The sequence below is a fragment of the Homo sapiens genome, chromosome 13 (genome assembly GCF_000001405.40).
Source record: "Homo sapiens chromosome 13, GRCh38.p14 Primary Assembly".
Taxonomy (NCBI): domain Eukaryota; kingdom Metazoa; phylum Chordata; class Mammalia; order Primates; family Hominidae; genus Homo; species Homo sapiens.
The window spans coordinates 112,400,651-112,427,174 of NC_000013.11; the positions used below are offsets into that span (position 1 = coordinate 112,400,651).

At 37.7% G+C, this 26,524-nt stretch overlaps 1 protein-coding gene and 1 long non-coding RNA gene across 12 annotated transcripts in view; one reads left to right on the plus strand and one right to left on the minus strand.

Annotated features, from left to right (window-relative positions):
- SPACA7 (sperm acrosome associated 7) overlaps positions 1-26,524 on the plus strand; it is a 58,335-nt gene that overhangs the window by 24,296 nt on the left and 7,515 nt on the right. For 7 of the 9 annotated variants that reach the window (XM_011537468.3, XM_017020392.2, XM_011537471.3 and 4 more), the window contains 2 exons: positions 419-514; positions 14,521-14,670. In XM_011537468.3, the coding sequence (XP_011535770.1) occupies positions 419-514; positions 14,521-14,670 (246 nt within the window). The remainder of the gene's footprint in view (positions 1-418; positions 515-14,520; positions 14,671-26,524) is intronic. The other 2 variants (NM_145248.5, XM_024449318.2) reach the window with 1 other exon arrangement.
- Positions 1-26,524, minus strand: part of LOC105370372 (uncharacterized) — a 97,399-nt gene that overhangs the window by 21,913 nt on the left and 48,962 nt on the right. The window lies entirely within an intron of this gene.

Sequence of the window (26,524 nt, forward strand, 5' to 3'; positions counted from 1 at the left end):
ATCCGTGCAAATCCTCCTTTCCTGCCCGCACTCCTTTCTTCCTACCCCAGTTCTGCAGTCATTATTTTTTGTATGTATCTTTCCATTGTTTGCAATATTTTGCCATTTCAAACACAGCTGCAGTGAGCAGCCTATAGCACAGGTATTTTCATATTGTCAGGAATTATCTCCAGGGTCAATTCTTAGCATTGGGATGTTGGGTCAAAGGACGTGTGGAGGAGTGAATATGTAGTTTTAATAGTCAGATGAGGCCTGGCTCTGTATTCACATATTGAGTTTCCAAAACATATTTTCAAATAAAACTTGAAAATGATATTAGCATCTCAACTTAGCATGTTTAAATAAATAAATGACCAAAGTGCTTATAAGTGTGTAATCAAGGACATTTTCCCCATTTTTTCCATATTTGTCATTAAAGAAGCCAATGCTAATGCAAATCTCCATGGCGATCCTTCTGAGAATTATCGTGGGCCACAGGTGTCTCCTGGCAGTGAGAAGAGTGTTTCCAGTAAAGGTAAATGTGCCCTGCCCACACTGAGAGCTCTGTGGGAGAGACGGAGGCATGAGTGTGTGAGGTGACTGTCTCCCTCCAGCCTCGCCAGTATGCCTTGTTATGCCATTAGGTTTCCACCAACATCATGGTGAGAAGTGGTATTTCAGTACTGCTTTTGTTTGCAATTGTCTCATTATGAGTGAGTTTAAACATCTCATATGTTTAAGGGCCATTTTTATACCACTTTTGTAAATGTTGCATTCATTACAATTTCCCATTTTCCTTTAGGTTTTTGGTCTTTTAGCCTCATTTCTCAAAGCTGTTTATATTTTAAGAACAAACTTTTAGAGAGAGAGAGATGATAGATAGACAGATAGATGATAGATGGATAATTGTTGGGGTTTGTTAGTTGACTTTTGACTACGTTTATAATTTTTCATGCAAAAAAAGTCAATTTTTGTGTAGCCAAAATTATCAATCTCTGACTGCCTTTAGCTTTTGACTTTCTGAGTTAGAAAGTCTTTCTCCACACTGAGGCTAAAGAAGAATTTGTTTTCCTCCAGTATTTATAGGACTTCATCTGCTACATTAGCTCTTGGATCCATTTGGAGTTTATCTCTGAGCATGGTGTGAGGTGTTCCTAATTTTATATTTTTATGAATGGCTACCCAGTTATCCCTGAACCATTTTTTTAAAAGTCCATCTTTGTCCCATGATTTGCAAAGCCACACGTATTACACACAAAGTTTTTCTGTATGTGACTGTCCTGTCTGGGCCATGCAGCACAGTCCTCTACTAAGGGGCCAGCACCACAGTGTGTTATTCAGAGTGTATTTTAACCTCTGGGACACACTTCCCTCTTTTAGTTTTTTTAGCTTTTCTTTTTCCATGTTTCCCTGATTATATTTTTGGTAACATGTCTAATTTCCTTTCCTTGAGTTTATGTTTTTATTGGGATTGCTTTACATTTGTAAAGTAATTTAGAAAATAACTGGCAGTTTTACAATGTTGAGTGGATCTATCTAAGAATAAGTAATGTCTTTCTGTTTGTTCAATGTCATTTCCTATCTTTCAGGAATATTTTTAAGTCTTCCTTGTATAGGTGTTATACTGTCATGATAAGCTTATTCCTAAGTATTCAGTCTACTTTCTTGCTATTAGAAGCAAGATTTTATCTATCATTGTGTACTTTAACTGGTCTTTTGTATGAATGCCTTGATTTCTATAGGTTAATTTTATCCTGCTATCTTACTGAATTATTTTCTTGTTTGAGTTAGCTTTATCATTGATTATCTAGGGTTTTCCAGATCTGCTGTATTATCATCTGTTAAATAGAAATGGTTTTCTTCTTCTTTACCAATTTTTATGCATCTCATTGATGTCCCTTGCCTAATTGCATTGACTGATATATCCAGGATAATGTTTAATAGTAGTGGAGTGAGTGGGCATTCTTGCCTTGTTCATGGCCTTCATAGAAATGCCTATAATGTTTATCCAGTAAGTAGGATTCTGGCTTTGGAACAGAGGCACACACATTTGAACATGTAAGGAAAGCATCCATCAACCATTTTATGTTTTGTCAAAGTCTTTTTTATCATTTTTGGAGCCCATAGTTTTTTTCTTTAGATCTATTAAATATAGTGAATGATATTAATGAGTTTCCTAATACTGAACCAACCTTGCATTTCTAAAATAAATTCCATTTGGTCATGTTGATTATATTCTTAGAATGGTATTAGATTCAACTTGCCAATATTTTATTTCATATTTTTGCATCCAAATACACAAATGACTCTAGTCTATGGTTGGGGTTTTTTTTAAACCTATCTTTATCAGGTTGAAATACTGATGTTACAATAAAAAATTTATAATAAAAATTAGAAATTTTTCTTTCCTTTTTGGTTCTTTAGAGCATCAGAAGCATTTTGTCTTTTAAAATTTATGAGAAATCCCTGTGAAACCATCTCTTCCTGGTGCTTTTTCTGGGGTAGTTCCTTAATAACTTTATTTCTTCTAGGAAAAGTGATTCTTCAGGTTTCTTAATCAATGGGGTCAATTTAGCCATCTATATTTCCCTAGGAAGTTATCCACTTCTTCTTGGTTTTCAAATGTATTTGAATAGAGATCTTTAAATCATCTCCTGATTTTAAAAAAACTTACTTGTTTCCATTGTTATTTCCCCTTTATGATTTCTTGTTTTGTAAATTTATGCTTAATCATTTTCTTCTTGATCAAGTAAGCCAGTGATCTGTCTGGTTTATCGTTTTTTCTGAAATCCAGGGATTTTTTTAATTTCCATAGGTTTTTGGGAAACAGGTGGTGTTTGGTTACATGAATAAGTTCTTTAGGGGTGATTTCTTAGATTTTGGCGCACCCATCATCCGAACAGTACACACTGTACCCAATTTGTAGTCTTTTATCCCTAACTCCCCTCCCACACTTTCCCCCAAGTTCCCAAAGTCCATTGTGTCATTCTTATGCCTTTCCATCCTCATAGCTTAGCTCCCACTTATGAGTGAGAACATACGATGTTTGGTTTTCCATTACTGAGTTACTGCACTTAGAATAATGGTCTCCAGTTCCATCCAGGTTGCTATGAATGCCATTATTTCATTTCTTTTTATACCTGAGTAGTATTCCATAGCATATATATACCACAATTTCTTTATCCACTCATTGATTTATGGGCATTTGGGCTGATTCCATATTTTTGCAATTGCAAATTGTGCTGTGATAAGCATGTATGTGCAAGTGTCTTTTTCATATAATAACTTCTTTTCCTCTGGGTAGATATGCAGTAGTAGGATTGCTGGATCACATGGTAGTTCTACTTTTAGTTCTTTAAGGAATCTCCACACTGTTTTCCATAGTGGTTGTACCACTTTACATTCCCACCAGCAGTGGAGAAGCATTCCCTTTTTACCACATCCACATCACCATCTATTATTTTTTGATTTTTTGATTATGGCCACTCTTGCAGGAGTGAGGTGGTATAGCATTGTGGTTTTGATTTGTATTTCCCTGATCATTAGTGATGTTCAGCATTTTTTCAACTGTTCGTTGGCCATTTGTATATATTCTTTTGAGAATTGTCTATTCATGTCCTCAGCCCACTTTTTGATGGGATTGTTTGTTTTTTCTTGCTGATTTTTTCATTGTAGATTCTGGATATTAGTCCTTTATCAAATGTATAGATTGTGAAGATTTTCTCCCACTCTGTGGATTGTCTGTTCACTCTGCTGATTATTTCTCTTGCTGTGCAGAAGCTTTTTCATTTCATTAAGTCCCATCTATCTTTGTTTTTGTTGTATTTGCATTTGGGTTCTTGCTCATGAAGTCTTTGCCTAAGCAAATGTCTAGAAGGTTTTTTTCCAATGTTATCTTCTAGAATTGGTATGGTTTCAGGTCTTAAATTTAAGTCCTTTATCCATCTTGAGTTGATTTTTGTATAAGCTGAGAGACAAGGATCCAGTTTCATTCTTCTACATGTGGCTTGTCAATTATACCAGCACCATTTGTTGAATAGGGTGTCCTTTCTCCACTTTATGTTTTTTGTTTGCTTTGTTGAAGATCAGTTGGCTGTAAGGACTTGGCTTTATTTCTGGGTTCTCTATTCTGTTCTTTTGGTCTATGTGCCTATTTTTATACTAGTACCATTCTGTTTGGGTGACTATAGCCTTATAGTATAGTTTAAAGTCAGATAATGTGATGCCTCCAGATTTGTTCTTCTTGCTTAGTCTTGCTTTGGCTATGCAAGCTCTTTTTTCATTCCATATAAATTTTAAGACAAAATCCAGTGTTTTGATATACTAATTAGCTCCATTGTATTCTCTTCTTTTTTTTTTTTTTTTTTTTTTTTAAGACAGTCTCGCTGTGTCGCCCAGGCAGGAGTGCAGTGGCGCTATCTCGGCTCACTGCAAGCTCCGCCTCCCGGGTTCACGCCATTCTCCCGCCTCAGCCTCCAGAGCAGCTGGGACTACAGGCATCCGCCAACATGCCCAGCTAATTTTTTGTATTTTTAGTAGAGACGGGGTTTCACCGTGTTAGCCAGGATGTATTTTCTTCTTTACCTCATTAATTTCTGCCTTTGTCACTAATATTACCTTCTTTATTTTCTCTTATAGTTCACTTTCTTGCTCTTTTTCTAGTTTTAGACCTCAGTAATTCTTTTATTTTTTTCCTTTTACCAATAAGTGTTTAGTGCTGTGTTTCTTTAAATGTATTTCACAGATTCTCATGTATAGTGTTTTCATTATTATTTTCCAGAAATTTATCATTTTAGCTTGTATTTCCCTTTTAACCAAAAGTTTTCCAATTCCCAGGTAACAGGGCATTTTGTCTTTGTTTTTCATAATAATTTCTAGTTTTATTGCCCTGTGATCAGAAAGTACTGTTTGTAATAGTTTTACTTTACAAAATTTGCTCATGGTTTCATAAATATATTCAATTTTTGTGAATGTTCCATAAGCACTTGAGAAACAGGTGTATTCTCCAGTGTCAAGATTTAACTGGAATCTGGTGTGTGTTAATAACAACAACCTTTTGATTATGTTGTTTAAGTCTCCTCTTACATTTTACACCTATTCAACCTGTCTTTTGTTAAGAATAGTGTAAAAATTCTCTATTATAAATATTTTTCTGTGTCTCCTTGCATTTTCTGTAGTTTTTGCTTTATGAGTGTGATTCCTGTGTTATTTGGTGCATAGATTTTTATGAATATTATATCTTCGTTGTGAATTCCAACTTTTAGCATCGAAAAGATACTTTCTTTGTCATGTTAATGTTTTGAGGATTGGATATTTCTTTCTCTGCCATAAGGACCACTATCTCTCTGCTTTCATATTAAATAATAAGATATATTTTGTCCATTCTTTATTTTTTAGTTTACCATTTAAACTTTTATTTTTATTCATTTGCTTTTTTCTTCAATTTTTAAAATTGTGCTAAAATACCCACAACATAATTTGCCATGGTAACCATTTTTAACTGTACAGTTCCATGATGTTAAACATATTCATAATGCTGTCTAACCATCACCACCATGTGTCTCCAGAATTATTTCTATCACCCCAAATTGAAACTCTGTACCATTAAGGAATAACTCCCCTTTCTGCCTCCCTCCAGGCTCTGGCAGCCACCATTCTACTTTCTGTTTCTATGAATTTGACTAGTCAGGTGCCTCATATAAGTGGAATCACACGGTATTTGTCCTTCTGTGATTGGTTTATTTCACTTAGCATAATGTCTTCAAGGTTCATCCCTGTCTTAGCATGTGTCAGAATTTTCTCTCTTTTTAAGGCCAAGTAATTTGGAAATTACATATCTGATAGAGATTAATATTGAGAATGTATTTTAAAAACTCCTAAAACCCAACAACAAATAACTCTATCTAAAAATTAGCAAGGGACTTGAATAGAGATTTTTTTCCAAGAAGATATACATGGCCAATAAGTCCATGAAAAGATGTTCATTATCACCAATTATTAGGGAAATATAAATCAACACTACAATGAGATATTACCTCACAATCATTAGGATGGGTAACATTAATGGATGAGTTAAGCCCATTTACATTATGGATGTGACTGATAATTCATCACAACTCTATCAAAATATTATAAAATTATGTGGATTGTGTTACATTCGCTATGTTTCTTCAGGAGATAAATATTCCTTGTTCTTAGGATATCCAGGAATTGAACTCAGCTCTTCACCAAGAGGACCTAATAGACATCTACAGAACTCTCCACCCCAAATCAACAGAATATACATTCTTCTCAGCACCACATCACACTTATTCCAAAATTGACCACATAGTTGGAAGTAAAGCACTCCTCAGCAAATGTAAAAGAATAGAAATTATAACAAACTGTCTCTCAGACCACAGTGCAATCAAACTAGAACTCAGGATTAAGAAACTCACTCAAAACCACTCAACTACATGGAAACTGAATAACCTGCTCCTGAATGACTACTGGGTACATAACAAAATGAAGGCAGAAATAAAGATATTCTTTGAAACCAATGAGAACAAAGACACAACATACCAGAATTTCTGGGACACATTTAAAGCAGTATGTAGAGGGAAATTTATAGCACTAAATGCCCACAAGAGAAAGCAGGAAATATCTAAAATTGACACCCTAACATCACAATGAAAAGAACTAGAGAAGCAAGAGCAAACACATTCAAAAGCTAGCAGAAGGCAAGAAATAACTAAGATCAGAGCAGAACTGAAAGAGATGGAGACACAAAAAACACTTCAAAAAATCAGTGAATCCAGGAGCTGGTTTTTTGAAAAGATCAACAGAATTGATAGACCTCTAGCAAGACTGATAAAGAAGAAAAGAGAGAAGAATCAAACAGACGCAACAAAAAATGGTAAAGGGGATATCACCACCGATACCAAAGAAATACAAACTACCGTCAGAGAATACTCTAAACACCTCTACGCAAATAAACTAGAAAATCTAGAAGAAATGGATAAATTCCTGGACACGTACACCCTCCCAAGACTAAACCAGGAAGAAGTTGAATCCCTGAATACACCAATAACAGGCTCTGAAATTGAGGCAATAATTAATAGCCTACCAAACAAAAAAAGTCCAGGACCAGACGGATTCACAGCCGAATTCTACCAGAGGTACAAGGAGGAGCTGGTACCATTCCTTCTGAAACTATTCCAATCAATAGAAAAAGAGGGAATCCTCCCTAACTCATTTTTATGAGGCCAGCATCATCCTGATACCAAAGGCTGACAGAGACACAACAAAAAAAGGGAATTTTAGACCAATATCCCTGATGAACATTGATGCAAAAATCCTCAATAACACACTGGCAAACCGAATCCAGCAGCACATCAAAAAGCTTATCCACCATGATCAACTGGGCTTTATCCCTGGGATGCAAGGCTGGTTCAAAGTACGCAAATAAATAAACGTAGTCGAGCATATAAACAGAACCAAAGAAAAAACCACATGATTATCTCAATAGATGCAGAAAAGGCCTTCAACAAAATTCAACAGCCTTTCATGCTAAAAACTCTCAATAAATTAGGTATTGATGGGACGTATCTCAAAATAATAAGAACTATTTATGACAAACCCACAGCCAATATCATACTGAATGGGCAAAAACTGGAAGCATTCCCTTTGAAAACTGGCACAAGACAGGGATACCCTCTCTCACCACTCCTATTCAACATAGTGTTGGAAATTCCAGCCAGGGCAATCAGGCAGGAGAAAGAAATAAGGTGTATTTGATTAGGAAAAGAGGAAGTCAAATTGTCCCTGTTTGCAGATGACATGATTGTATATTTAGAAAACCCTATCGTCTCAGCCCAAAATCTCCTTAAGCTGATAAGCAACTTCAGCAAAATCTCAGGATACAAAATCAATGTGCGAAAATCACAAGCATTCTTATACACCAATAACAGACAAACAGAGAGCCAAATCATGAGTGAACTCCCATTCACAATTGCTTCAAAGAGAATAAAATACCTAGGAATCCAACTTACAAGGGATGTGAAGGACCTCTTCAAGGAGAACAACAAACCACTGCTCAACAAAATAGGACACAAACAAATGGAAGAGCATTCCATGCCCATGGATAGGAAGAATAGATATCATGAAAATGGCCATACTGCCCAAGGTAATTTATAGATTCAATGCCACCCCCATCAAGCTACCAATGACTTTTTTCACAGAATTGGAAAAAACTACTTTAAAGTTCATATGGAACCAAAAAAGGGCCTACATTGCCAAGACAATCCTAAGCCAAAAAAACAAAGCTGGAGGCATCATGCTACCTGACTTCAAACTATACTACAAGGCTACAGTAACCAAAACAGCATGATACTGGTACCAAAACAAAGATATAGACCAATGGAACAGAACAGAGCCCTCAGAAATAATACCACACATCTACAACCATCTGATCTTTGACAAACCTGACAAAAACAAGGAATGGGGAAAGGATTCCCTATTTAATAAATGGTGCTGGGAAAACTGACTAGCCATATGTAGAAAGCTGAAACTGGATCCCCTCCTTATACCTTATACAAAAATTAATTCAAGATGGATTAAAGACTTAAATGTTAGACCTAAAATCATAAAAACCCTAGAAGAAAACCTAGGCAATACCATTCAGGACATAGGCATGGGCAAGGACTTCAGGTCTAAAACACCAAAAGCAATGGCAACAAAAGCCAAAATTGACAAATGGGATCTAATTAAACTAAAGAGCTTCTGCACAGCAAAAGAAACTACCATCAGAATGAACAGGCAACCTGCAGAATGGGAGAAAATTTTTGCAATCTACTCATCTGACAAAGGGCTAATATCCAGAATCTACAAAGAACTCAAACAAATTTACAAGAAAAAAACAAACAACCCCATCAAAAAGTGGGTGAAGGATATGAACAGACACTTCTCAAAAGAAGACATTTATGCAGCCAACAAAAACATGAAAAAATGCTCATCATCACTGGCCATCAGAGAAATGCAAATCAAAACCACAATAAGATACCATCTCACACCAGTTAGAATAGTGATCATTAAAAAGTAAGGAAACAACAGGTGCTGGAGAGGATGTGGAGAAATAGGAACACTTTTACACTGTTGTTGGGACTGTAAACTAGTTCAACCATTGTGGAAGTCAGTGTGGCGATTCCTCAAGGAAGTAGAACTAGAAATACCATTTGACCCAGCCATCCCATTAGTGGGTATATACCCAAAGGATTGTAAATCATGCTGCTATAAAGATGCATGCACACGTATGTTTATTGTGGCACTATTCACAATAGCAAAGACTTGGAACCAACCCAAATGTCCATCAATGATAGACTGGATTAAGAAAATGTGGCACATATACACCATGGAATACTATGCAGCCATAAAAAAGGATGAGTTCATGTCCTTTGTAGGGACATGGATGAAACTGGAAACCATCATTCTCATCAAACTATCGCAAGGACAAAAAACCAAACACCACATGTTCTCACTCATAGGTGGGAATTGAACAATGAGAACACTTGGACACAGGAAGGGAAATATCAGATGCTGGGGCCTGTGATGGGGTGCGGGGATGGGGGAGGGATAGCATTAGGAGATATACCTAATGTAAATGATGAGTTAATGGGTGCAGCACACCAACATGATGCATGTGTACATATGTAACAAACCTGCATATTGTGCACATGTACCCTAGAACTTAAAGTACAATTAAAAAAATATATATATATATTCCTTGTTGTTTAAATTATAAAAGTTGTTTGTTGTTGGGTTTTAGGAGTTTTTATATATTCTGAATATTAATCTCTAATCAGATATATAATTTGCAAATTACTTGGCCTTAAAAAGAAATAAAATTCTGACACATAGTAAAACAGTGATGACCCTTGCAGATATTATGCTAAGTGAAATAAATCAATCACAGAAGGACAAATACTGTGTGATTCCACTTATATGACGCACCTGAGTAGTCCAATTCAGACTATTAAAAAAATAGTGAGTACTGGGGAGGATGTAGAGAAATTGGAATTCTTGTGCACTGTTGATGGGAATGTAAAATGGTGCAGCCACTGCAGAAGACAGTATGGTGGTGCCTCAAAAAATAAAAAATAGAATTACTGTATGACCCAGCAATTACACTTCTGGGTATACACCCAAAATAACTGAAAGCAGGGTTTTGAAGAGGCATTTATACCCCTGTGTTCATAGCATTATTCACAATAGCAAAAACATAGAAGCAATCCAGTGTCCACTGACGAATACATGGATAAGCAAAATGTTGTCCGTCCATTTCTTTATTTTTAACCACTCAACATCACTTAAGTATACAGCATATACTTGGATCTTACTTTCTCAGGAAAACTGAAAAAAATAATTAATGGATGAGTTAAGCTCATTTACATTATCAATGTGACTGGTAATTCATCACAACCCTGTCAAAATATCATAAAATTATGTAGATTGTGTTACATTTGCTATGTTTTTTTTAGGAAGTAAATATTCCTGTTCTTTAAATTATAAAAAAAAAAATTGGGGTATTTAAGAAAGTTTATATTTTTGTTCTACTAAACACCTTTGTACTTACAACTTTTTAAATGTCCCTAATTCCCTTTTTTTCTTATTACACCACTTACTATCTGGTTTTTCAGTTTTTAATTCATATATAATAGTTGCACATATTTACAGGACACATTTAACATTTTGCTATATGCATACAATGTGTAATGATCAAATCTGGGTAACTGAGATGTCCACCACCTCAATCATTTATCATTTCTTTGGGTTGAGAACATTCCACATCTTCTCTTCTAGTACTTTTGAAATATACAATAACATATTGTTAACTGTAATCACCCTACCGTGCTGCCAAATGCTAGAACTTATTCCTTCTATCTAACTGTATTTTTGTTCCCATTAACCAATCTCTCTCTATTTCCTTCTCCCCTTTTACCTTCCCAGCCTCTGGTAACCACCATTGCACTCTCTACCTCCATGAGATCATTTTTTTTAGCTCCAACATATGAGTGAGAGCATGTGATATTAGGCTCTCTGTGCCTTTCACTTGACCTAATGTCCTTCAGTTCCACCTGTGTTGCTGCAATTGACAGGATTTTGGTTTTTTATGACTGAATAGTATTCCATTAGTATTCCATGTGTATGTGTGCCATATTTTCTTTATTCGTTTATCCACTGATGGACACTTACGTTGATACCACGTTTGGTCTATTGTAAATAGAACTGCAATGGCCATGGGAGTGTAGAGATTTCTTTGATGTACTGATTTGCTTTCTTTTAGACATATACCCATCACATCAGTGGGCTTCCTAGATCATATGGTAGTTCTGTTTTTAGTTGTTGTTTGAGGAACCTCTATACTGTTTTCCATAGTGGCTGAACTAGTTTACACTCCCACCAACAATGTACAAGGATTCCCCCTTTTTCCCCATCCTTGCCAGCATCTGACATTTCCTGTGTTTTTGAAAAGTTATTTTAACTGGGATGAGATGATATCTCATTGTGGTTTTGATTTGCATTTCCCTGGTGATTAATGCTTTTCACATACCTGTTGGCCACTTGTATGGCTTCTTTTGAGAATGTCAGTTCAGATCTTTTGCCCATTTTTAAATTAGTTTTTTTGTTTTTTGTTTTTTGTTTTGCTACAGAGTTGTTTGAGTTCCTTATATATTCTGATATTCTGGTAATTGATTTCTTGTCAGATGGATAGTTTGCAAATATTTTCTCCCATTCTTTGTCTCTTCACCTTATTGATTGTTTCATTAGTTGTGTAGGAGCTTTTTAGCTTGATATAATCCTAATTGTCTATTTTTGCTTTTGTTGCCTGTGCTTTTAAGGTCTTACTCAAAAAATATTTGCCCAGACAGATGTTCTAAAGTGTTTTTCTAATGTTTACTTCTAATGTTTTCATAGTTTCAGGTCTTACATTTAAGTCTTTAACCCATTTTGAGTTGATTTTTGTATATGGGTGAGAGATAGGGGTCAAGTTTCATTCTTCTGCATATGAATGTCCAGTTTTCCCAGAACCATTTATAAAGGAGACTATCCTTTTTCAAATGTATGTTCTTAGTGCCTTTGTTGAAAATGAATTGGCTGTAAATGCATAGATTTATTTCTAGATTCCCTATTCTGTCTCCTTGGTCTATGTGTTGGTTTTCAGTGTATTTATTACAGATTTTTGCTTTGTGGTTACCAGGAAACCTAAAAAACACATCCTATAACAAGTTATTTTAAACTGATAACAAATTAACTTTGATCACAAAGAAAAGAAAATAAACAAGCAAAGAACAAACTAAAAATCCCTACACTTTAACTCATTTCCTCCTGCATTTTCACGTTTTGTTGCCTCAATTTGTCTTTTTATATTGCCTATCTCTTTAAAATTATTATTTTTTAATAGATTTGCCTTTTCATCTTTATACTAAAGATATGAGTGGTTTGCACACCACAATTGCAGTGTTAGAGTGCTCTGAATTTTCCTGTCTGCTGACTTTTACCATTGAGTTTCATACCTTCAGATAATTGCTTGTTGCACATTAGCACCCTTTTCTTTCAGATTGAAGACTTCTTTTCAGCCTTTCTTGTAAGACAGGTCTGGTGGATGTGAATTCTCTCGGCTTTTGTTTGTCTGGGAAAGTATTTCTTTTTCAGGTTTGAAGGATAGCTTTGCTGAGTAGAGCATTCTTGGTTGGAAGAGTTGTTTTTTTTTTTCCTTTAGCACTTTAAATATGTCATCCAACTCCCTCCTGGCCTATAAAGTTTCCACTGAGAAGTCTGCTGCCAGATGTATCAGAGCTTCTTTAGATATTATTTGATTATTTTATCTTGCTTCTTTTATAATCCTTTCTTTGTCCTTTACATTTGAGAGCTTGATTATTCGATAAATTGGGGTAGTTTTACTTGGGTTGAATATTCCTGGTGATCTTTGATCTTCTTGTACCTCAGTATTCCTATATTTCTCTAGGTTTGGAAAGGTCTCTGTAATTACTTCTTTGAATAAACTTTCTACTCCTATATTTTTCTCTACTCCTTAAGGCCATGACTCCATAGATTTGCCCTTTCTTGATTTCATAAGTGTTCTGCATTGCTTTTTATTTTCCCCTCTGACTGTATATTTTTAAATGGCCTAAGTATTAGTCCCTTTTGTGTTGCCATAATGGGATACCTGAGGCTGGGTAATTTATAAAGAAAAGAGGTTTATTTGGCTCACAGTTATGCAGGCTGTACAGGAAGCATGGTGCCAGCATCTGCCTCTGGTTGGGGCCTCAGGGAACTTTTCCTCATGGCAGAAGGCAAGGGGAACCAGTGTGTTGTGTGATCAGAGAGGGAGCAAGAGGGAGTGATGGGAGGAGTTCCATGCTCTTGAACAACCAGCTCCTGTGTGAACCAAAAGATCAAGAACTCATTACTGAGGGGAAGGCACCAAGCTGTTTATGAGGGATCCACCCTCATGACCCAAACACCTCCCAGAAGGCCCCACGTCCAACACTGGGGATCACATTTCAACATGAGATTTGGAAGGGACAAACATTCAAACTATATCAGCCTGTATTCAAGCCTGATTCTCCTGCCTGATCAATTCTGCTGTTGAGACACTCTGATTAATTTTTCAGTTTTTAATTATGTTTTTCAGCCCCAGGATTTATTATTGTTATTATTGTTATTATTTCAATCTTTCATTAAATTAATCTGATAAGTTTCTGAATGGCTTTTCTGTGTCTTTTTTTTTTTTTTTTTTTTTTTTTTTTTTTTTTTTTTTTGAGATGTGGTCTCATTCTGTCACTCAGGCTGTAGTGCAATGGCGTGATCTCAGCTCACTGCAACCTCTGCCTCCCAGATTCAAGCAGTTCTCCTGCCTCAGCCTCCCAAGTATCTGGGATTACAGGCACATGCCACCATGCCCAGATAATTTTTGTATTTTTAGTGGAAATGGGGTTTCACCATGTTGGCCAGGCTGGTCTCGAACTCCTGACGTCAAGTGATCTGCCCGTTCTTGGCTTCCCAAAGTGCTGGGATTACAGGTGTGAGCCACCGTGCCCAACCTTTTCTGTGTCTTATTGAAGTTTTCCTCAAAATAGCTATATTTTTGTAGAATTCTCAGTCTTAAAGTCACACATCTTCGTATCTCTAGGGTTGGCTAATGGTGCCTTATTTCATCTATTTGACGGAGTCATATTTTTCTGAATGTTCTTAATGCTTCTGAATGTTCACTGGTGCCTGGGCATTGAAAGTTAGATATTTATTCCAGTCATCACATGGGCTTTGTTTCTACCCATCCTTCAGAGGACCTTTCATTGATTCAAAGGAGACTGACTGACTGTTGAGTTCCCTAAGCCTGTGGTCACTGCAGCCACTTTTGCACTACAGAGCATCCTAAGTCCAGTTACACTGCAAATCTCTTGCAACCTCCTAGATACCCAGCTCTGATGCAGTTGGGGAAAATCAGGGAGAATCCTCTGGGCTCCCAAAGTCCCTCACTCACTTCCCTCTGTTTCCCCATAGCAGACGGAATCTCTCTCCACACTGAGCTGCCTGGAGTTGGAAGAGGAGTGATACCGGCACTCTCATGGCCGCCACAGCTGGCACCAATGCTGGGTCTCACCCAAAGTCCCACAGCTGCCCAGACAAGCACAGTACCAGAGCTCATCCAAGGTCTGCAGCTGCTACTGCCTAACTGCCATTGATGTTTATTCGAGGCTCACGGTCACTTTAGTCAGCCAGTGGTGAAGCCAGCCAGGACTCAGGACCATCATACCAAGCTGGTATTATGGTCTTCCAGCCTGGGGTCGGCCTAGAAATGTTGTCTGGAAGTAATAGCCTGGAATCAGGAGCTTCAGGGTTCTTCCCAGTGTGGTTTTGCTGTGGCAGGGTTTGTGCTAGGTTCCAATGCAAAGGCCCCTGTACTCTTTTCTCTCCTTCTCCCCAGAAGGAGTCTCACTCTAAGCTACAGTGCCTGGAGTTGAGAGAGTTGTGATGTGGGCACTTCTATGGCCCCTGCATCTGGTGTTAAATTGGGTTGCATCCCAAGCCTTCTGCCTCCCAGACCAGTGCAGCACCACAGGGTTCACCCAAGGACTGTGGTCACTATAGCCCTGCTGACACTGAAATTTATTTGGGACCTATGGCCACTTTAGGTAATCAGCAGTGAAGCAGGGCAGGACTCAGGTTCATCCTGCAGGGCAGCGATTCTCCTCTGGCCTGGGGTGGGTCTAAATGCTCCCTCTGTGGGCACTGGCCTGGAATCAAGGACCACGGAATTCTGCCAGGTGCTGTGTTCCACTGTGGTGAGGCCAGCATTGAGCTCCAATGCAAGGTCCCACACTCACTTCCCTCCCTCTCTGAAGCACACAGATTCTCTCTCTGCACTGTGCTGCTTGGTGTTGGGGCAGGGTGGTGTAGGCAATACTACACTGTCCTTCCTACCTTCTTCAATGTGTCTTTTCCTGTTATTATGCTAAAACTAGGTACTATGATCACTCATCTGATTTTCCAGTTCTTGTGAAGGTGACTTCTTGAATGCATAGTTGTTCAATTTTATGTTCCTACAGGGGTCAATCACTGGAGGGTAATATTTAGCTATCTTGCTCCACTTTCTGGATTGTCAGTTGTTGTTGTTGTTGTTTGTTGTTGTTGTTGTTGTTACAGACTGTCACTGTCACCTGGGCTGGAGTGCAGTGGCATGATCTCAGCTTACTGCAACCTATACCTCCTGGGTTCAGGAGATTCCCCTGCCTCAGCCTCCCAAGTAGCTGGGATTATAGGCACCTGCCACCATGCCTGGCTAATTTTTGTGTTTTTAGTAGAGAATGGGTTTCACCATGTTGGCCAGGCTGGTCTCAAACTCCTGACATCAAGGGATCCACCCACCTTGGCCTCTCAAAGTGCTGGGATTACAGGTGTGAGCCACCATGCCCAGCCCCTGCTTTGTCAGTTTTTAATGGTGTACTTGAACTATCAATCATTGCCTAATTTCAATTAGGCATCAACATCAATGAGTTTCTATTTTCCTCTTCATCTCCCTTATCACCTCCCATAGTTTAGTTTTATCACCTCTATTTTGTCAATACATATAGCATTTGCATATTAGTTTTCCAGTCTCACCTATGTTTCAGTCATTTACATATATGATTATGAGTTGTGTGTGTGTGTGTGTGTGTGTGTGTGTATCCACCTTCACCATCACTGTTCTTGTTGAAGTTGTCCAGTTATCTTTTGGTTTGATGAAGCTCATCCTGTAGCAGATTACTGAAGAATGTGCTATGGACACACAAATCTTTAGACTCTTGTATGTTTAAGTTGATGTTTGATGCACACTTAGATGGATATAAAATCCTTGATTTATACTTTTTTTTTTCATTAAGTTGATAGAGAACGCTGCTTCATTGTTGCCTTGCTTTTTTGGTTGTTTTATCTTTGAAATCTAATGGTTTTACTGGGATACATCTTGGTATTAGTTTTCCCAGATACAAAATGGATCCTTTCAAAATTAGACTCACCTATTATTTTTCTATAAAGTTATCTTAATTATAACTTCAAATATTCATTCTATTCCATAGTTAATGCTGCTGTTGTTTTCTTCAATTACACCAATTATACAGATGTTATTTCTTCTTTGCCTGCCTGTATTATATTTTCTTATTATTTCCTCATTGATGTTTTTTACTTATTTCTTTATCTCATTACATTTTCTTGTTTTTCTGACTTACTTTTCTACCTTTTATTACATTTCCATTTAAGTTATATCAGTATTGAAAAATACTGATCCTTTAGTGAATATTTTGATTGCTTTGATATAAGAAAAATAAGTGTATCCTCTGATATTTTTGGTTCTTTTTAATCTTACAGGACCATACATGTTCCCCTTTTGCTACTTTTGTCCTTTGTCATTCAATTTCTAAAAGGAGCCTACTCCTTATTTTTTGTCTTTTCTCTTTCCCAGGTGTTATATATTTTGAAGACTGACACATAAAATTCACATGTGCTTTTTAAGTTCTTTCTCTGTAGCCCTTTCTCTGATCTACCCAGGACCCATATTTAGTATTTTCAGTCTTACAGTGGAGTTGCTTATTCTGATAGTGTTTTCAGATCAATATTAGGCTTTTTCTAGCTCACTTTTCTCACTGTTTTATCTCAACCTGCCATTGCTGATCAATAAATGTTGCATGGAGTGAATGTAGGGCAGGAACAGAGATTCTTCACTATAACTTTTAAATTTTTATTATTTATTTTTTACTTACTGTTATTTTGATATTTGAGTATTTTATAGTTAGGTTATGCCTGAGTGTATAGTTTTGTGTAATCTTATTTTTCTTTCCTGTTTTTCTGTGTCATTTTTTGAGGAAATATTGGGAGACACAGGCCTAGGCAGCTGCCATAGTCCTTAGTCACATGGAAATCAAATCAAAGGACTTAGAAGATTCAATTTACTTATTTGTGTTTGCCAACGTTGAAAACTATATAAGTTGAAAATCTTTAGAAATTCTAGATAAAATATAATAAACATTTTTAAATGTCTATTATGATCTGCAGCAAAGTAAAGGAAATCTTCAGGGCTAGAAAACCAAGAGAGAATTAAAATCCAGAGCAGTAAGTTACAGATCTAATTGCAGAACAATCCTCAACTGTAATTTTCCCTTATGAAACATAGAAATTTGGCTGTTAGAGTTTATTTTCAGAAGATGAGGCCTAGGGAAGAAAAGTGTTGCAAATGAAATCCCTGAATAATGCTACGACTGCTAACAAGACTACACCCTCAGTAAAAGGATAGTGTAGATAAAAAACCATCTACCAGCACAGGAAAATGGAAATATGTCTGTGTAAGCCTGTACCACATGGGGACTTCAAGTTCTGTGTATTCTGGAATAGCTAATCTGTGAAACCAGCATGATAGGAAGTCTCATCTGGTGACACTTTGGGTCAGAGGGCACTTGGCAGAAGCAAATACAAACTTGATGTAAAGAATGATTCCCTTAATTTGGGCTACACAGGATTTTCACAGACAATAGCTCTGCCAAAGGTGAGCTTATAATTCAAAACACAAACTTATGGGAAGCAATATGCCATGGATAATAAGCAGCAGGCAAAATAATAGCATTACTAGACTTCAAGAATTTCAGATAATTGAACAATCTGATAGAGCATTTGACATAAGTACGTTTCAGGTTCTCTACCTCCACTTAGAATGCTGTAAAAAAAATGTTACTGTCTAGCCAGGTGCAGTGGTGGGTGCCTGTAATTCCAGCTACTTGGGAGGCTGAGGCAGGAGAATCACTTGAACCCAGGAGGCAGAGGTTGCAGTGAACTGAGATCATGCACTGCACTCCAGCCTGGGAGACAAGAGTGAGACTCCATTTAAAAAAAAAAACAAAAAACAATGCTACGCTACTCTCACCCTAATAATAAAAAGTGGGATCATCTACAAAACCATGGCTTTCCTTGAGCCCATAAGAACATTCCAGTAGCAGGGTAAAGTAGGCAGAATTCAAAAAAGAGGCAAGCCTACCAAACAGAGCTGGAACACATGAGCTTTCTCATTTTTGGCCAAGCAGGAGGAAAACAGGTCACCACCATACAAGTGGGTAAGAAGTAACCACTGAATTTTTTAATAGCCAAGTGTGGGATATAATATGCATTTGAAAAATCCAGAGGCCCCAGGCACAAGGGGGCTTGCACTCACAAGGTCTTCTCCATAGGTCTCTGTAAGATGCTCACAGGAAGGACTGGGGCACAGCAGGGCCACAGAGGCATGTAGGGAATGATCACCCACAGCTGGGGACAGACAGGTGACCCCTCCCACTTTCTCAGTAGCTCTGAAGCTATAAAAGCCTCTTGCGGAGGGGCAGCAAAGCCTCTTATTCCCAAAGCACAAGCAAAGATCTATGACTTCTGGGGATAGGAGTAAAAGCAAAACTTTTCTGCCTCTAGAAGAAAGATGTTAAACTACCTTGGGGCCAGGATCCTTCACCATTACTAACAGAGAGCTGTTACCACAGGAAGAGACAAGAAATACCACCCAAGACCAACCACTGTAAAAGGCAAAGTTTGGCTACTGAGAGAAGTGACATGGGTGCTGATCAAACAACACAGATTGCCTGAGAGTGAGGCTGGATAAGGACAAGTGAGAAATCCCCTGCCCATCACAGGCCTAGCAGGGAGTAACCAGTGAAGGGAGTATATCCCCTGAGGGAAGGGAAGAACTGAGAAAGAAACCCGCTCTGCCGTGCAGGTGTTCAGGGAAGGCTGAAGGCTAAAGGGAAATAGAAACACTACGAAAGTCTCTGGCCCCCTAGCTCATACTGTGAACACAAGGCAACAGCAGCACACTTCTGGAGGACTTTGATTCTTCGGTGCATTGAAGATGTCAATAGCCACAACTGATTCCAAGCCAGACCTACCTCTGACAAAACTGGCTCAACCCCCATGCTAATGGCATGACGAAAGAAGAGGTGTGCCCATTTTAAGGCATAATACAGTTTACGTCAATCTCTACTGTGCTTCATACATGATGTCTGACATTCAATAAAAAATTACAATACACAAAAGGAAGCAAGAAAAATACCCATTATAAAGTAATAAACAACAGAACCAGACACAGAGATGTCCCAGATGTTGGAACTATCAGACAATGATAACTATGATTACTATGTTAAATAATCTAGTGGAAAATATGTATTAAAAGATGAGGAATTTCAGGAGAGATATGGAAATTATAAGAAGAGTCAAATGGAAATACTAGAAATAAAATACATAATTTCTTAAATTAAGAATTTCTTCCAAGAGCTCATCAGTAGACAGTGCACAGCTAGGAAACAAAGTTAGCTATCTTGAAAATAGGTCAATAGAAATAAAAACTGAAACATAAAGGGAAAAAAAAGAATGAAAAAACACCATATTACCAAAGAGTTATGGGTAAATACCTCATTTCCTCACATACATATCATTGAAATCACAGAAAGATAAAGAGACGAGAGAGAGCAATATAGAGGGAGAAATCATGGCTGAAAATGCCCAAAAGTAATAAAAGTTATCAAACTACCGATCCAAGTATCTCAGAGAACACCAAGCAGGATACGTTTAAACACAGAGACACACACACACTGTAGGCATATCATATTTAAGTTGAAATTTTAAAAAGAGGGTATATTGAAGGCAGCTAGAAGGGAGAAAAGAAACACTTTACATAGAAAAAAACCAAGATAGGAATTACAGCAAACTTCATATCAGAAACTATATAATCTAGAGGACAGTGGAATGACATCTTTAAATGACTGAAAGAAAAAATTGCCATCCCAGAATTCTATTCTCAGAGAAAATATCTTTTACATATGAAGACAAAAATAAGGATTATTTCAGACAAAGATAACACATCGTTAGCAGATCTGCAAAGTTAGAAATGTTAAATGGCATTCTCCAGGCCAAAATGTGGATTGTACAAAGAAATAAAAAGTACCAGAAATAGTAAAAATGAAGTAAATATGAAAGACATTTTGGTACTGTTAGTTGAGATCACTTGAAATACAATTGAATCTCCAAAGGGAAAAGAAAGAAAGAAACATGCAAAAAAAAAAAAAAAAAAGTATGTCAACAAAGCAAAAAGGAGGGCAACTGGAGGTATGCCATTTAAAGGTTCTCACACTTTACATGAGGTGATAAATTACTATTTAAAGTTAGACTGCAATAAGTTAGAGATACATATTTGTAAAGCCTAGATCCAACACTAAAAATATTTAAGGTGTGAATAACAAATCAATAGAGGAAGTAAAATGAATATTTAAAAATACCCAATTAATTCAAAGAAGACAAGGGGAAAAAGAAATAAAGAACAGACAAGGCAAATAGAAAACAGCTAGCAAGTTGGCAGTTTTTAATCCAAAAACATCAATAATTACCTTAAGTCTAAATGTTTTACACCAGGGGTTGTCAAACTATAGGCCAAGGGCCAAATATAAATATAGGAATATAAATCATTCTATTATAAAGACACATGCATGTGTCTGTTCATTGCAGCACTACTCACAATAATAAAGACATGAAATCACCCTAAATGCCAATCATTGAGAGACTGGATAAAGAAAATGTGGTGCATATACACCATGGAATACTATACAGCCATTAAAAAGAATGAAATTATGTCCTTTGCAGGGACATGGATGGAGCTGGAGGCTATAATTTTTAGCAAACTAACACTGGAACAGAAAACCAAATACCGCATGTTCTGACTTATAAGTGGAAGCTAAATGATGAGAACACATGGACACATAGAGGGGAACAAAAGTCACTGGGGCCTACTTGAGAGTGGAGAATGGGAGGAGGGAGAGGATGAGGAAAAATAACTAATAGGGACTAGGCTTAATTGCTGGATGATGAAATAATCTGTACAACAAACCTGGTGACACACTTTAAAACTTGGAGAAAAATAAATGTTTTTCTAGAAAACTTTAGAAAAAAAAGAAGAAAGAAGAAAATTGAAGTGGCTATGTTACTATCAGACAAAGTTGACTTCAAAACAACATTATCAAAGATAAAAGGAAAACTAGATCATTTTAGAAGGGTCAGTTTCTTAGGAAGACACACAATAAACTCAAATATCTATGCACTATCCACCACAGAGCTTCAAAACAAGTATGAAGCCAACCTTGATAGAAATGAAAGTAAAAGCAGACAAATCTATAGTTACATTTGGAAACTTTAGCACTCTTTTTCAGTAATTGATAAAAGAAATAGACAGAATAAGGACATAAAAGGCCAAAACAACATTTTTAGCCAAATTACTCAAATTGACCTTTTATAGAACACAATCCACCCAGCAACAGAAGAATGCATATCTTTACAAATGCTCTTGGAACATTCACCAACATCCACCATCTTTTTGACCACAAAACAAACTTCAACAAGTCTAAAATAATTAAAATCATGCAAAGCATGTTATCTGCACACAACAGAAATAAACCAGAAATCAATAATAGAAAATGATGTGGGGAAATCCTCCAAATATTTGCAAATTATGCAACACACTTCTCAATAACCCAATGCGCAAAGAAGTCACAAGGGAAATTCAAAAATGTTTAACCCTTTTCCCATTTAGAAAAATGAAGTGCGTCTCACTGCCAGTGCTCATTTGCTTTTTACATAAACATGCTCTTTAAGGCAGAAGCAAATCTGACTGATTTTCAGTGTGAAAATAAAATAGAAAAAGTGTTCTTGGAGTTAAGCAGAACTAACATCAGAATTTTCTGAATCATCAGAATTGTCTATTTCAGAAAAATCAGATTCATTGAACAAATCTTTGGCCAGCAACTGTTCAAGAACAATGTTAACATTACATATAGGAATGCTACATTTTCTAGGATTTTACATTTTCAGCAACTGAGAATTACTATATTTTGTAAATAAAAATACCTCTACTAAAAACAGAATGCTATAAATAGAATGATGGCTTTTGTTTCCAAAGTCGATATACTCAAGCGATTCAAAAATTAAAAGTGAGATATTTCATGGTAAAGGTATCTTGGGGTAAATGCTGCTGCCACAAGTACCATTGGCAAGTATTCTCGGGGCAAATGGGAAAGGGTTAATTAAATGAAAAGGAAAACACAACATGTCAAAAGTTGTGGGATGCAACTGAAGCAGTGCTCAAATGGAAATTTATAGCATTAAATGCTTATGCTAAAATAAACATGCTTAAAATTATTCATGGCATAGAAATGGAATTGAGAACAGAAAATATCAAGACACTGTGAAAAACAGGCAAAGTTGTCCAATACCAAAAAAGAACTAGGAGAAACAGAAACAAAAAAGTCATTAAAATTCAAGATGAAGTGATGAGTGGAACAGCAGATCTGTCATAATTGAAAAAAAAGTAAATTGGAAGGTGAACCTGAGGCATAAAGAGCTATAAAACCAGAGACCAGGAAACATAAAAGGTAAGAACCAACATCCCACAGGAGGGAATGGAGAGTGAGCAAGGGGCAGTGTTTGAAGGAATGATTATCAAGGCTATCCCCATATCAGTGAAGAACATAATCCTCAGATTCAGGAATCACAGTATGTTCTAAAGGAAGAGAAATAGAAATGAAATTAGACATATCACTTGTAGAGCTGCAGAACTCCAAAATCCAAGAGACGATCTGGCAATCAACCTGAAACAAGTTAAGATTTCTAAAACAGAACGATTAGACTGTAAACGGTTATTTCCACAGAAAACAATAGAAGTCAAAAGACAGCAAATCATATCTTCAAACGATTTTTTTAAAAGCATGGCTATCAATGTAGAATTCCATACCCAGCTGAAGTATCTGCCAGTGAGAGCAAAATAGACTTTGCTGGAAAAGGCCAAGCGTTTCACATTGAGAGAACTTCGTTTTAAAGAAAACGTCATGAAGCATTTGAGGCAGGAGAAGCAAGATGCAGGAGGCAGGGGTGAACAAAAGCCTGATAAATACGGGGTGAATCCGAACAAGGACCCCCCTGGGTGAAGCGGAGCAGCCCCTACCCGCCCGAAGGCACCGCATGTGACCAGCACTGCTCTTCCCTGTCTCCACCAGCATCTCTGCTGCACTCCAAAGAACCTAGGTGCATCCGTGGTGATGCTGCGTTGGGAGCATGAAGATTCCCCTGTCACTGCCGTCATTTCAATTCTGCGTTTAGCCTTCTCATCACACTGAAGTGGAGCTTCTGCTTCTTCCCCAGTTACGGCTTCCCTGCAGGAGTCTGTGGACTTCAGGATGCGTCAGGAATGAGAGCTGGCCCGGGCCAGGGAGGATCTGGATGATCTACTCGAATGAGCTGTTTCTCTGATGAGAACAGAATGACAGAACTTCACATATAGACAATGGCATTGTGTTGGGGGGCTTGGTGCTTTTCATTAAAAGAAAAATCCATCCTGAAATTCGAACCCTGCTTCCATGGCACAGGGTTAAAGAAATGGAGTCTGAATCTTACAAAGTGCCTCCTCTGGGACCCTCTACTGCCAATTATTGCTTTGCTTCCTCTCACCTCCTCCTCCAGCCTGAGTTATGCCTTTTAATTTTTACCAAAAGCCAAATGGAAGTGTCCAGGCAGCTCCTGATTTAGCTCAGCTCCTAAGATGACAGGAACACAAGAGGCAGGGCCGGTGGCATGGTCTCCTGGGCTGAGAGCTGTCTGTTCATGCTGTCTCAGTACCTGCTGCTCTGGGCTGCAGGTATTTCTCGGTACATCCATATCCCCCCATGGGAACAAGGCTTCCTGAATGAGAGAGTGCACCCTCCATGCCGACCCTAGCACCTTGCCTTGAGTAGGTGTTTGTTGAATGAATGAATGAATGCATAGACACTGAGGAGAATGTGAAACCTTGACCCTTATTTGAGCAGAGGACTGGAGAAGATGCTTCTGTGAGAATGTAAAGGAAAAACCCCTTGGATTCATTAACATGGAGGATCCCACAAAGTCCTAGTGACCTTACCAACAACTCAGATGCAACCTGACAGGACAGCCATGTGCCACAGTGGCGTGGGCGCCCGGATCCAAGGGTGCGCACAGGCTCCCCTGCAGGGTGACATAGGCCAGGAGAACATTGCAATAGAAACAGATGTGAGTCAGAGGGCATGAGTTGAAAAAAAAGTTGAAGAAAAGATGGGGAAAACCATTTCTCCATGTTTACTGATGGCACATGACAAGGATAAATTGTCTGAAACAGAAAAGATGGACCATGAAGCCGATACAACTGGAAGGAAACATGCCTTCTCCCTGGTAGTTAGGAAATGGGATGGCTTCCCCTCAGCTCGGCCCGGCCGCTGGAGCCAAGGTTGGGAGTGCCCTGACTCTGCTCCCAGTTTTCAGGCAGCGCGAGGCCACCCAGGATGGGCCATAAAGTCCATTTATTCGATTGGCACCAACATTTGAAAAAGAAGAACAGAATAAAGACAGAGTGTAAGTATGAAACCGTTTTGTTTTCACCAAGAGTGGAGGCAGAGAGAGAGAAGACAGAGAGAGACAGAGAGAGAGAGACAGGGAGACAAAGAAGATGTGTGAGAGAGAGAGAGAAGCTCTCACAGCGTAACATGATTTTTTTGTGCCCTGGTTGAGAGCTAAAGAAAAGGATGGTGCAGCTCTGGGGGACACATTGTCTCTGCAAATCTCTGAGGTCTGGGAGATGCAAAGCACCCTCTGCCTCCCCACCCTCCATGGCACTGGAGGCTGGGCCCACATCACGGGTCCTAGAGTGGACAGCACCAGAGTTCCATCTGCCAGGTCTGGGATCCCCAGGGAACTGATTTGATTTCAGCATTGTATCCTTAACAAACAGTAGCCCCATGCAGGCACATGTCACTGTGTTCATATGTTTAGTCACTACTGGTTCCCTAGGGCTGCCATACAAAGTACTTAAATGGAAATGTATAGCATTAAATGCTTGTATTGAGTTAATTTGCATATATGGTGTGAGGTTATTGTTGTTTTGGTTTGATTTGTTTTGGTTTGGATTTTTGCATATTCATGTCCAATTGTTCCAACATCATTTGCTAAAAAATTCAACTTTCTCTCTTGAGTTGCCTTAGCATATTTGTCGAAAATCAGTTCATCATATATGTGCAAGTCTGTTTCTGGACTTTTTATTTTGTTTTGTTGATGTAAGACCTGTTCTTCCTCATTGCCCACTTCATTGTCTTGGTTACTGTATGTTGATCACAGGTTTGAATTTTCCAACTTTGTTCTTGATTTTCAAAATCAATCTGGCTATTCTAGTGCCTTTATCTTTCTGTATAAATTTAAGAAACAGCTTATTAATGTCTACAAAAAATTCTGCTAGGATTTTAATTTGGATTGCTACAAATCTATAGATCAATTTGGTAAGATCTGCCATCTTAACAATTTCCAGTCTTCCTACCTATGAGCAACTCCACTTATTTAGATCTTTGCTTTCTTTCACTTTTCGTAGTTTTTAGCATAAAGATCTGGCATATATTTTATTAGGTTTATACATAAGTGTTTAGTAGTTACTGATATTATTATAAATGGCACTTTTTCAAATTCAATATCCAGTTATTCATTTTTAGTATACATAGAAATATTATTGCTTTTGTATATTGACTTTATAACCCATAACCTTACTAAACTCACTCTTTAGTTCCAGTAGCATTTTTGTAGATTCTTTTGGATTTTCTACGTAGAGGATCATATCACCTGGGAATCGTTTGTTCTTCCTTTCCAACATATATGTCTTTTGTTTCTTTTTCTTGCCCTGTATCACTAGTTAGGATCTCCAGTGCAATGTTGAATGTTGAATAGGAGTCATAAGCACAGACATTCTTTCATAAGAGTGAAAGCATTTGGTCATTTGCTAGGAAGGATGATGTTAGCTGCAGGGATTTTTTATACATTCCTTTTGTTGGGTTGAAGAAGTTGCCTTCCATTCCTAGTTTGCTGAGAGTTTTGTTCATAAATGGAGTTTGAATTCTGAGAAAAGTTTTTTCTGAATCTATTCTGAGCATAGCAAATATTTTTTGTACAAAGTCAGACAGTAAATCTT